The sequence below is a fragment of the Homo sapiens genome, chromosome 3 (assembly GCF_000001405.40).
Source record: "Homo sapiens chromosome 3, GRCh38.p14 Primary Assembly".
NCBI classification, from domain to species: Eukaryota; Metazoa; Chordata; class Mammalia; order Primates; family Hominidae; genus Homo; species Homo sapiens.
The window spans coordinates 39952172-39964821 of NC_000003.12; the positions used below are offsets into that span (position 1 = coordinate 39952172).

Here is a 12650-nt window from a genome sequence, read left to right on the forward strand (position 1 = left end):
TTTCATTTAGCATACTATTTTTTAGTTTCTCCATGTTGTAGCATGCATGAGTCATTTATTCCCTTTCATTGCCACATAGTAGTCTATCACATGGGTATACCTCATTTTGCTTATCCATTCACTCAATGCATTGTTTTCACTCCCTAGCCATTATTTAATGATGCTGCTGTGAAGAATTCCTTTCCATCCCATTTGTTGAGAGTTTTTATCATGAAGGCATGTAGGATTTTGTGACATGCTTTTTCTGTATCTATTAAAATGATGATGTGGTTTTTGCCCTTTTTTCACTAATACGGTATATTACATTAATTGGATTTCAAATGTTACAAATCCCACTTAATCATGGTGTATAATTTGTATGTATTTCTGGATTTGTTTTGTAATATTTTTAGATATTTTGTGTCTATATTCCTGATGGTCTATAATTTTCTTTAATTGTGACATCTTTGTTTAGCTTTATATCAGGCTAATACCGCCTCATAGAATGAAATACGAAGTGTTTTTTCCTAAACTCTGTTTCCTCAATGAGGTTGTGAAGGATTGGTAGTAATGAATTTTCCCCCTCTTTATTTATCTACGAATGCCTTTGTTTTGCCCTCATTTTTGAAAGATAATTTTGCTGGAGAGTAAATTATTCGTTGACAGGAAAGTAGGAATAGCTAGGGACTTTGCAATTGCCACTGAGTATGTGTGCAGCCTCCCACATATGTACAGCCTCCCAGACCACCAGGGATATATATGTAGGAGCTTATCAGGGTTCACTACAGCTATCTCATTGCCCAAATCTCCTTGTTAAATTTCTGGCTTGTCTTCATGTTGGTTGTCCCAAATAGGATCACAGCTTCATTGTCTTCCCCCATTCTTTTGCCTCTGGAATTGCTGCTGTTTCTGACAATGCCCCGGGGCATGAGGTTTTACTGTTCTCTGTTCCAAATCAATCTGGTTTCTTTCTGCAGCAAAAACTGCAGGTTTTCATGGCTTGTCTCACCCTGGTAGAACTACCAGCTGGCAGGTGTTGGGGATGTGTTGGAGATAATAAGGTAATGGTAGCAGTCCCAAGCTAAAATTCCACAGACTTCCACTGAGGTTCAATAGTTTTACTTGAATAAATGCTTCTCAACTTGTTATGTGCCTTCGGTCTGTTTCCAGGGTCTTGAAATAGTTATTTTTGATAATTTTTTCTAGTTTTAAAAATCATTCACTTTTGGAGAGAACTGGCTGAGTTTTTTGATCTGTCATTTCAGATATCCTGCCTTACAGTGTTTTTAATTCATTGATTAATGCTTTCATTGTTAGGCAACTTATGGAAAACCAATTTTTCTTCCGTTGCTATTAACAAAATCTGTAACAGGTTTATCAGCTTAAGAAAATTTACTGCATCTTGGAGGGTGGTTCCAAGATGGCCAAATAGGAACAGCTCCAGTCTACAGCTCCCAGTGTGAGCGACACAGAAGACGGGTGATTTCTGCATTTCCAACTGAGGTACTGGGTTGATCTCACTGGGGCTTGTTGGACAGTGGGTGCAGCCCATGAAGCCAAAGCAGGGTGGGGCATCGCCTTACCCAGGAAGTGCAAGGGGTCAGGGAATTCCTTTTCCTAGCCAAGGGAAGCCGTGACAGATGGTACCTGGAAAATCAGGACACTCCCGCCCTAATACTGCACTTTTCCAAACGGCATACCAGGAGATTATATCCCATGCCTGACTCAGAGGGTCCCACGCCCATGGAGTCTCGCTTACTGCTAGCACAGCCGTCTGAGATTGAACTGCAAGGTGGCAGGGAGGCTGGGAGAGGGGCGTCCACCATTACTGAGGCTTGAGTAGGTAAACAAAGCAGCTGGGAAGACTGAACTGGGTGGAGCCCACCGCAGCTCAGGGAGTCCTATCTGCCTCTATAGACTCCACCTCTGGGGCAGGGCATAGCTAAACAAAAGGCAGCAGAAATTTCTGCAGACTTAAAATGTCCCTGTCTGACAGCTTTGAAGAGAGTAGTGGTTCTCCCAGCATGGAGTTTGAGATCTGAGAACGGATAGACTGCCTCCTCAAGTGGGTCCCTGACACCCAAGTAGCTTAACTGGGAGACACCTCCCAGTAGGGGCCAATTGACACCTCATACAGCCAGGTAGGTGCCCCTCCGAGATGAAGCTTCCAGAGGAAGGATCAGGCAGCAACATTTGCCATTCTGCAATATGTGCTGTTCTGTAGCCTCCGCTGGGGTGATACCCAGGCAAACATGGTCTGGAGTGGACCTCCAGCAAATTCCAATAGACCTGCAGCTGAGGGTCCTGACTGTTAGAAGGAAAACTAACAAACGGAAAGGACATCCACACCAAAACCCCATCTGTACGTCACCATCATCAAAGACCAAAGGTAGATACAACCACAAAGATGGGGAGAAACCAGAGCAGAAAAGCTGAAAATTCTAAAAATCAGAGCACCTCTTCTCCTCCAAAGGAATGCAGCCCCTTGCCAGCAACGGAGCAAAGCTGGACGGGGAATGCTTCTGACGAGTTGACAGAAGTAGGCCTCAGACAATCGGTAATAACAAACTTCTCCAAGCTGAAGGAGGATGTTCAAACCCATCGCAAAGAAGCTAAAAACCTTGAAAAAAGATTAGACAAATGGCTAACTAGAATACACAGCATGGAGAAAACCTTAAATGACCTGATGGAGCTGAAACCCATGGCACGAGAACTACGTGACAAATGCACAAGCTTCAGTAGCTGATTTGATCAAGTGGAAGAAAGGGTATCAGTGATTGAAGATCAAATTAATAAAGTGAAGCAAGAAGAGAAGTTTAGAAAAAAAAAGAGAGAAAAGAAACGAACAAAGCCTCCAAGAAATGTGGGACTATGTGAAAAGACCAAATCTACATCTGATTGGCGTACCTGAAAGTGACGGGGAGAATGAAACCAAGTTGGAAAACACTCTGCAGGATATTATACAGGAGAACTTCCCCAATCTAGCAAGACAGGCCAACATTCAAATTCAGGAAATACAGAGAATGCCACAAAGATACTCCTCGAGAAGAGCAACTCCATGACACCAATAATTGTCAGATTCACCAAACTTGAAATTAAGGAAAAAATGTTAGGGGCAGCCAGAGAGAAAGGTCAGGTTACCCACAAAGGGAAGCCCATCAGACTAACAATGGATCTCTCTGCAGAAACTCTACAAGCCAGAAGAGAGTGGGGGCCAATATTCAACATTCTTAAAGAAAAGAATTTTCAACCCAGAATTTCATATCCAGCCAAACTAAGCTTCATAAATGAAGGAGAAATAAAATCCTTTACAGACAAGCAAATGCTGAGAGATTCTGTCACCACCAGGCCTGCCATACAAGAGCTCCTGAAGGAAGCACTAAACATGGAAAAGAACAACCGGTACCAGCCACTGCAAAAACATGTCAAATTATAAAGACCATTGATGCTAGGAAGAAACTGCATCAACTAACAAGCAAAATAACCAGCTAACATCATAATGACAGGACCAAATTCACACATAACAATATTAACCTTAAATGTAAATGGGCTAAATGCTGCAATTAAAAGACACAGACTGGCAAATTGGATGAAGAGTCAAGACCCATCAGTGTGCTATATTCAGGAAACCCATCTCACATGCAGAGACACACATAGGCTCAAAATAAAGGGATGGAGGAAGATCTACCAAGAAAATGGAAAACAAAAAAAAGCAGGGGTTGCAATCATAGTTTCTGATAAAACAGATTTTAAATCAACAAAGATCAAAAGAGACAAACAAGGCCATTATATAATGGTAAAGAGATCAATTCCACAAGAAGAGCTAACTATCCTAAATATATATGCACCCAATACAGGAGCACCCAGATTCATAAAGGAAGTCCTCAGAAACCTACAAAGAGACTTAGACTCCCACACAATAATAATGGGAGACTTTAACACCCCACTGTCAACATTAGACAGATCAACGAGACAGAAACTTAACAAGGATATCCAGGAATTGAACTCAGCTCTGCACCAAGGAGACCTAATAGACATCTGCGGAACTCTCCACCCCAAATCAACAGAATATACATTCTTCTCAGAACCACATTGCACTTATTCCAAAATCGACCACATAGTTGGAAGTAAAGCACTCCTCAGCAAATGTAAAAGAACAGAAATGATAACAAACTGTGTCTCAGACCACAGTGCAATAAAACTAGAACTCAGGATTAAGAAACTCACTCAAAACAACCCAACTACATGGAAACTGAACAACCTGCTCCTGAATGACTAATGGGTACATAACAAAATGAAGGCAGAAATAAAGATGTTCTTTGAAACCAACAAGAACAAAGACACAACATATCAGAATCTCTGAGACACATTCACAGCAGTGTGTAGAGGGAAATTTATAGCACTAAATGCCCACAAGAGAAAGCAGGAAAGATCTAAAATGGACACCCCAACATCACAATTAAAAGAACTAGAGAAGCAAGAGCAAACACACTCAAAAGCTAGCAGAAGGCAAGAAATAACTAAGATCAGAGCAGAACTGAAGGAAATAGAGACACAAAAAACCCTTCAAAAAATCAATGAATCCAGGAGCTTGTATTTTGAAAAGATCAACAAAATTGATAGACCGCTAGCAAGACTAAGAAAGAAGAAAAGAGAGAAGAATCAAATAGATGGAATAAAAAATGATAAAGGGGATATCACCACCGATCCCACAGAAATACAAATTACCATCAGAGAATACTATAAACACCCCTACACAAATAAACTAGAAAATCTAGAAGAAATGGATAAATTCCTGGACACATACACCCTCCCAAGACTAAACCAGGAAGAAGTTGAATCCCTGAATAGACCAATAACAGGCTCTGTAATTCAGGCAATAATTAATAGCCTACCAACCAAAAAAAGTCCAGGACCAGATGGATTCACAGCCGAATTCTACCAGAGGTACAAAGAGAAGCTGGTACCATTCCTTCTGAAACTATTCCAATCAATAGAAAAAGAGGGAATCCTCCCTAACTCATTTTATGAGGCCAGCATCATCCTGATACCAAAGCCTGACAGGGACACACCAAAAAAGAGAATTTTAGACCAATATCCCTGATGAACATTGATGCAAAAATCCCCAATAAAATACTGGCAAACCGAATCCAGCAGCATATCAAAAAGCTTATCTACCATGATCAAGTGGGCTTCATCCCTGGGATGCAAGGCTGGCTCAACATATGCAAATCAATAAACGTAATCCATCATATAAACAGAACCAACGACAAAAACCACATGATTATCTCAATACATGCAGAAAAGGCCTTCGAAAAAATTCAACAGCCCTTCATGCTAAAAACTCTCAATAAACTCGGTATTGATGGGATGTATCTCAAAATAATAAGAGCTATTTATGACAAACCCACAGCCAATATCATACTGAAAGGGCAAAAACTGGAAGCATTCCCTTTGAAAACTGGCACAAGACAGGGATGCCCTCTCTCACCACTCCTATTCAACATAGTGTTGGAAGTTCTGGCCAGGGCAATCAGGCAGGAGAAAGAAATAAAGGGTATTCAATTAGAAAAGGAGGAAGTCAAATTGTCCCTGTTTGCAGATGACATGATTGTATATTTAGAAAACCCCATTGTCTCAGCCCAAAATCTCCGTAAGCTGATAAGCAACTTCAGCAAAGTCTCAGGATACAAAATCAATGTGCAACAATCACAAGCATTCCTATACACCAATAATAGACAAACACAGAGCCAAATCATGAGTGAACTCCCATTCACAATTACTTCAAAGAGAATAAAATACCTAGGAATCTAACTTACAAGGGATGTGAAGGACCTCTTCAAGGAGAACTACAAACCAGTGCTCCACGAAATAAAAGAGGATACAAACAAATGGAAGAACATTCCATGCTCATGGATAAGAAGAATCAATATCATGAAAATGGCCATACTGCCCAAGGTAATTTATAGATTCAATGCCATCCCTATCAAGCTACCAATGACTTTCTTCACAGAATTGGAAAAATTACTTTAAAGTTCATACGGAACCAAAAAAGAACCCGCATTGCCAAGTCAATCCTAAGCCAAAAGAACAAAGCTGGAGGCATCACGCTACCTGACTTCAAACTATACTACAAGGCTACAGTAACCAAAACAGCATGGTACTGGTACCAAAACAGAGATATAGACTGATGGAACAGAACAGAGCCCTCAGAAATAATGCCACAAAGCTACAACCAACTGATCTTTGACAAACCTGAGAAAAACAAGCAATGGGGAAAGGATTCCCTATTTAATAAATGGTGCTGGGAAAACTGGCTAGCCATATGCAGAAAGCTGAAACTGGATCCCTTCTTTATACCTTATACAAAAATTAACTCAAGATGGATTAAAGACTTAAATGTTAGACCTAAATCCATAAAAACCATAGAAGAAAACCTAGGCAATACCATTCAGGACATAGGCATGGGCAAGGACTTCATGTCTAAAACAACAAAATCAATGGCAACAAAAGCCAAAATTGACAAATGGGATCTAATTAAACTAAAGAGCTTCTGCACAGCAAAAGAAACTGCCATCAGAGTGAACAGGCAACCTACAGAATGGGAGAAAATTTTTACCATCTACCCATCTGACAAAGGGCTAATATCCAGAATCTACAAAGAACTTAAACAAATTTACAAGAGAAAATCAACCCCATCAAAAAGTGGGTGAAGTATATGAACAAGACACTTCTCAACAGAAGATATTTATGCAGCCAACAGACACATGAAAAAATGCTCATCATCACTGGCCATCAGAGAAATGCAAATCAAAACCGCAATGAGATACCATCTCACACCAGTTAGAATGGCAATCATTAAAAAGTCAGGAAACAACAGGTGCTGGAGAGGATGTGGAGAAATAGGAACACTTTTACACTGTTGGTGGGACTGTAAACTAGCTCAACCATTGTGGAAGACAGTGTGGCGATTCCTCAAGGACCTAGAACTAGAAATACCATTTGACCCAGACATCCCATTACTGGGTACATAAAGGATTATAAATCATGCTGCTATAAAGACACATGCACACGTATGTTTATTGTGGCACTATTCACAATAGCAAAGACTTGGAACCAACCCAAATGTCCATCAATGATAGACTGAATTAAGAAAATGTGGCACATATACACCATGGAATACTATGCAGCCATACAAAAGGATGAGTTCATGTCCTTTGTAGGGACATGGATGAAGCTGGAAACCATCATTCTCAGCAAACTATCGCAGGGACAGAAAACCAAACACCACATATTCTCACTCATAGGTGGGAATTGAACAATGAGAACACTTGGACACAGGGTGGGGAACGTCACACATCAGGGCCTGTCATGGGGTAGGGGGAGCAGGGAGGGATGGCATTAGGAGATATACCTAATGTAAATGACGAGTTAATGGGTGCAGCACACCAGCATGGCACATGTATACATATGTAACAAACCTGTACATTGTGCACATGTACCCTAGTACTTAAAGTATACTTTAAAAAAAAAAAAGCAAACTTACTGAATCTTAGTTTATAATTAAAAGCAACACTAAAACAAGTGGATTGTATAGAAGAATGAAAGTTTTAAGTATCAATTCAATATAATTAAATATTGTGTAACATATGTTGAATAACCGAAGCAGAGTTCAACAGATTTATATCCGGAATCGTTTTTCTTCTGAATGGCAGTGCTCCTGTCTAGCACCATGGTGTTCGTGATTCCTTATCAACTTAGTGCCCCCCATGTGAGCAGGCTGAACTGAGTACTTGTGATATGAGGTACAAAACAGGTAGGAAAAAAGACTTTGTTGTGTATAGCAAAGAAGGAACTGGCATCAGCTTCCTGAGCTCTCAGGCATCTCCCATTCCCAATCTTAAGGAAGGCCTTTCTCCTGGTTCTGGCATTATCCCTGGGAATGAGTGGGATCAGCAGTGGATGTGACAGTGACTTGTTCCTCCAGTCCCCATCACTGACTTAGGGAGCATCATAAGAGCCAGTGAGTTTGGCTCTTAGAAATACGTAAGCAGTGAAACCCACTAGTCCCATCTCTTGCACCTAGTTTAGTCTGTTTATAGTGTCAGTCCCTCTCCCCCCATTCTTTCCTGCACCTCCCCAAAGCCCATCATATCCAAAGTGGGAATCAATTCTCACTGGACATTTATCCCTGAGACTTTCTTGTAAAAAACACATGAGTCCTATTAACAAAACAATTGTTTAATTTTACTTAGGGAGGCAAAGTTTAATAATAGCATGCAGTAAACTTTTTGCTAATAATTGTTCTTTTTCCCTCTTTTCCCTAATCATGGGGGAAAATGTAGTTCATTAGCAAGTTGACCTGCTCTCTTGTTTTTATTCACCAAACAGAACTCTAAAGAATTGATTCAGCTTTGCAGAGGAACAATATTGTATTAAGACAGCACTATTTCTACAGTTAAACTAGCATGACTAGCTTATAAATCAAAGCAGCACTATTGGCGCCACATATATGTGTTGTGTATTTCTTTTGGCAAAGTTACAACTTTAAAGAATTGACATTTTGGATCACCATGTGGTAGTTTAGCCATAACAGGTTGCTAATGAGGGAATCAAGGCAGAGGCAGATGTTTCCTTAAATGTGAGCTTACATAAGCCACTTTAGTTGGTTCTGGTTTTAAACAATTGCATTTCTTGGGGACCAAGTTGTACACTGGATCTTCCTTCTGAAAATCGATACCTCCCCCTCATGAGTGTTGTGCTGTGCAGACAGGAACCTCATGGTGAGGAGAAGTGCAGCTTTGATTGTTGCTGCTCTTTTAATGTCATGCCGAATGGAATGGCACTTCGCAATCTCTCAACCACAGCAGTTTCCTCTTCTCATTCAAATCTAAGATACAAGCATTTCCCTAACTACTGTTTGAATCCAAAATGTTTATTTGGCAGACTGGTGCAAGTTGAATTCTGGAAGGAAATCTAGTTTTAAAAAATGTCTTAGAACATTATGTTCAGGGTTAAAGTCAAGGACCGTATTTCCCACACATGTTGTTTTTCAGGCAATTTTCCTTGAGTTTTTTGCAGAAGAAGCCAGAATGGTGTTTACAGGTGGAAGGGAAATGGTAGCAGCAGACCCAGAGAGCAAAGAGATCCACACGCATTTCCCTGATAATTATTTTATTCATTTATACTTCTGTCTTACTTCAGAAAGGATTTGAAGTGGCTTACTGATGTAACCACAGTTCTGCTAGAATAGATAAGGCCAAAGGAAATAAAAGTGGAGAAACAAGAAGAGATCAACTCATGTTACTCTAAACTGAATCACTTGCAGTTCCCACGATTTGCGAGTCCCATTTTCCTTTCATGTTCTGGGAGTTCAACCAGGAAAGGAACATGTTGAGTCTGGATTGTTGAGGCCGGAGAGTAAGGCACTGGGTTTGAAGGACAAAATCAACCACACTGGCCTTACTTCCTGACCTTGCTCTCTGGAAGACCCCAGATTTGGATTTTGAAATAACCCGTTACTAGTCGAGATATCTAATGTCAGAAGACCACAAAACTGCATCTTTTAGTCCTATTGCATTATTTCTACTCTTGAAATTAGCTCCCTCAACAAGATACATTTTCCTATTTTGTTTTGAGATATCTGCTTCTCATTATAGCATCAGCCAGCCACATGTCTTGCATTAGGACCTTTAAGTCAACAAGTAGGAGATTAAAGGGAATTAAATGCAAGCATTTCAGGTAGGCCCAGGGAATAAGGGCATTAGGTGGCAGGTTACCTGGATGGCGCAGCAGGGTTAAAATTATCCCTATATGATCCTGTTTCATGAACAAAAGATGAATGGACTCTCTTAAAAGACTTTATAAGGCCAGTTAAGAGCAGAATAGTATAGCATGGTAATCGACACTCTTGATGTCTAATTAATTCATCTGGATTCAAACTGAAGATTAGCCATTTTTTAGCTGTATGACCTTGAACAAGTGGCTTAACTTCTCAGAGCCTGTTTGCCCATCTATAGGATGGTTATAATAATACCACCTATCTCCAGATTGTTATGAAGGTCAAGTAAAATTATGCACATAAAAATTTAGGCATCACCTGACATGTGGTAATCCCTCAGTAAGTGTCAGTGGTTATTGTGTCTAAACCCCTGACCTGTTGTTATTGTAACTCTGCATCTTCATTGTTTAAGGAACTGAGTGACTATTAGGAGGAATTAAATTCCCTGTCAGTCTGCTGGGACATAATTTGGAGATGGATAAGGACCCCAAAGCACTAATGGCTACATGGTCTCTGGGCTAGTTTTTTTTTTTTTTCCACTTGTTCAATGAAGGGATGGGAATTGAGGACCTATAAAGTTCATTCTCATGTGAAAATTATCTCTGGGTGAAATGGTGCTTCTTTGTTTGTCCAGAGATACATGTTTCCTCTGAGAAGGGCCTAAATTGCATTGCAAAATGAAGAGATTCAAGGGCTGTAGTGCAGTTACTTCTTCACAAAGCATTAGCCCAGAGTGTCCTCCCACCCAGGGCTTTTCAATCCTTGAATGAGCATGTAAAGGCACCCCTAGGTCTTAGAGAATCAGGGCCTCATGTTTTAGAGCCCTAAGTTACTGAGTGTGGGCTGTGACTTAGAATCACTGTGTAGGAATGTGAAAGAAAATCTGCCAGCCCATTCTTGGCCAAGATGCTGGATTTGGAAGCCAAGATTCACTTGACTTGCAGACAGTTTCTGTGTTATAGAGCAGTAGAATTATAGATGATTGATTTTTTCAATTTAGTTTTATATTTTCAAGTTCTCATACATCGGTATTATGAGAGAACATACACATAAGACAAAGCAACAGTAAATAAAATTATGTGCAAATAATTCAGTAAGCTCATGTACGAGAAGGGGCTCATATCATCTAGATGTTATAGAAACGTAAACAGAAAAGGCACATACTTTGGATTACAAAGGGTCTGGATTTGGATCCGGTATCAGCACTTTCCGGGTGACCCAGTACCAGGGTATATGGTCTTGTTTTCTGTAAAATGGGCAATGCTTACCTGATTTGGCAGCTGTGCAGATTAAATGAGATGATGTGAGTGAACAGCCGGCAAAGTCAGTTGCTGTTTCTTCTCCCTGTTGGGGGAATATTTGATGGTGTGAGAAATGAGCTATGAACAACTCATCAAGACTGATATTTAAGTGAGGATAACTCACTTTATTGTCAGTTAAGCCTATCTAATCTCTTTTTTCTCATCCATCCATCCATCATCTCATTTATTCATGCATACATGCATGCATTCATTCACTTACTACTTCATCCCTGTTATATTGCATGTCCTACAGTGTGCAAGATGCTATTGATGCAGAGATGAATGAAATAGGTGACTTTGTTTGGAACTTGTGAATTCATATGCAAATGCAGGGATGACCCCCTGCTTCTTAAGCACTATCTTGTGTGTTGCTATTTAAACATAATACTATGATCACAGTAAAAACATAAAGCTTAGTACTTGAGTTAAAGATGCCAGAAAGTTGATATTCTACATGTCCAAAGTTGAAAATTTATGTATATCTGAACATGTGTATATTTATATTTCTAATAATCATATATCTGTCTTAAAAGTAAAAGCAATATTTTTCATGTGATTTCTCTCATTTGCTCATTGTTTACAGCTTATTTTACTAGTATAGTGACATATTCATATTATATGTTAGAAATCTACATTTGCAAAGATCAGCTAAGTTTACGTTTCAGATTGAGAATAGCCCGGAAGGATTGTGTCTAGCCAATTACATTTTTATTCTTAATTTTAAAACTCAGTATTAAAATAGTTCACTGTCTTCTATTTTCTGTATACTATCTGGGGCAGTATGTGGTGCTGAGTGACTTAATATTTTAGATTTCTTTTTCAGCTGTACATTTAAATTCCTTTCTTATTTTAGTGCCTGACAGTTCACCCAAGAATGTCACCTGATGCATTTAAAATGGGAAAATATTTATTTTCATCTTCTTTATCTTTCTTTTCTTTAATTTTTAGCCCTTAATTACCATTATGAGCGACTTGGATTCTATTTTGTTTCAATTCAGAAAAAAAACTTTGCTTTCTACTACTTCCAAAGTATTTTAAGCACTATGAAGAGTTTTAAATGGTATACATGATAATATAGCAGGTAAGAAGTTGCTGGCATGAGTTTCAAACCAAGAGACAGTAAGATGTTGTGCAATGGACCACTGATAAAGAGGTGGCAGCATAGGGCTCCTCACAATTGTGTTTGTTATTAGAGCCTGAACGTGAGAAGAAATCACTTCTCTGCTCTCTAAGAGCCTTCTCTATTAGTTATTAGGTTACTATAGATAAATTCTTAACACCTATCCAAGGTCTTTATTCTTCCCTTTCAAAATTGGGTAAAGGTTGATTTTTGTCCATGGCAAAGTCTTGTTTCGATGTTAAACTCATTGCAGAATCACTCTGAGGCCTGGCTGCAGTGCTGTTTATAAAATCCTTGCTTCAGGGTCAGGCTGCAAGTAAAACATTATTTAGAAGAGCTTTTGGCCTTTCACAAAATTGTCATGAACCTTTGAAGAAGAACTTGGAATTATATACTGCTTTGAAGCATACTGCAGTAGAATTTCATAGTCATTTTTATGGGCCATGACAATTTTTGAAGATGCTTAAAA

At 39.4% G+C, this 12650-nt stretch overlaps 1 protein-coding gene across 6 annotated transcripts in view, besides 1 other annotated feature; it reads left to right on the top strand.

The window, feature by feature from the left end:
• Positions 1-12650, top strand: part of MYRIP (myosin VIIA and Rab interacting protein) — a 451408-nt gene that overhangs the window by 143258 nt on the left and 295500 nt on the right. The window lies entirely within an intron of this gene.
• Positions 8627-8921: a silencer, noted in NCBI's record as "tiled region #6637; K562 Repressive non-DNase unmatched - State 24:Quies". NCBI's record gives its function as "represses a minimal TATA promoter and a strong SV40 promoter by Sharpr-MPRA in K562 cells {active_cell/tissue: K562}" and the evidence as "EXISTENCE:reporter gene assay evidence [ECO:0000049][PMID:27701403]".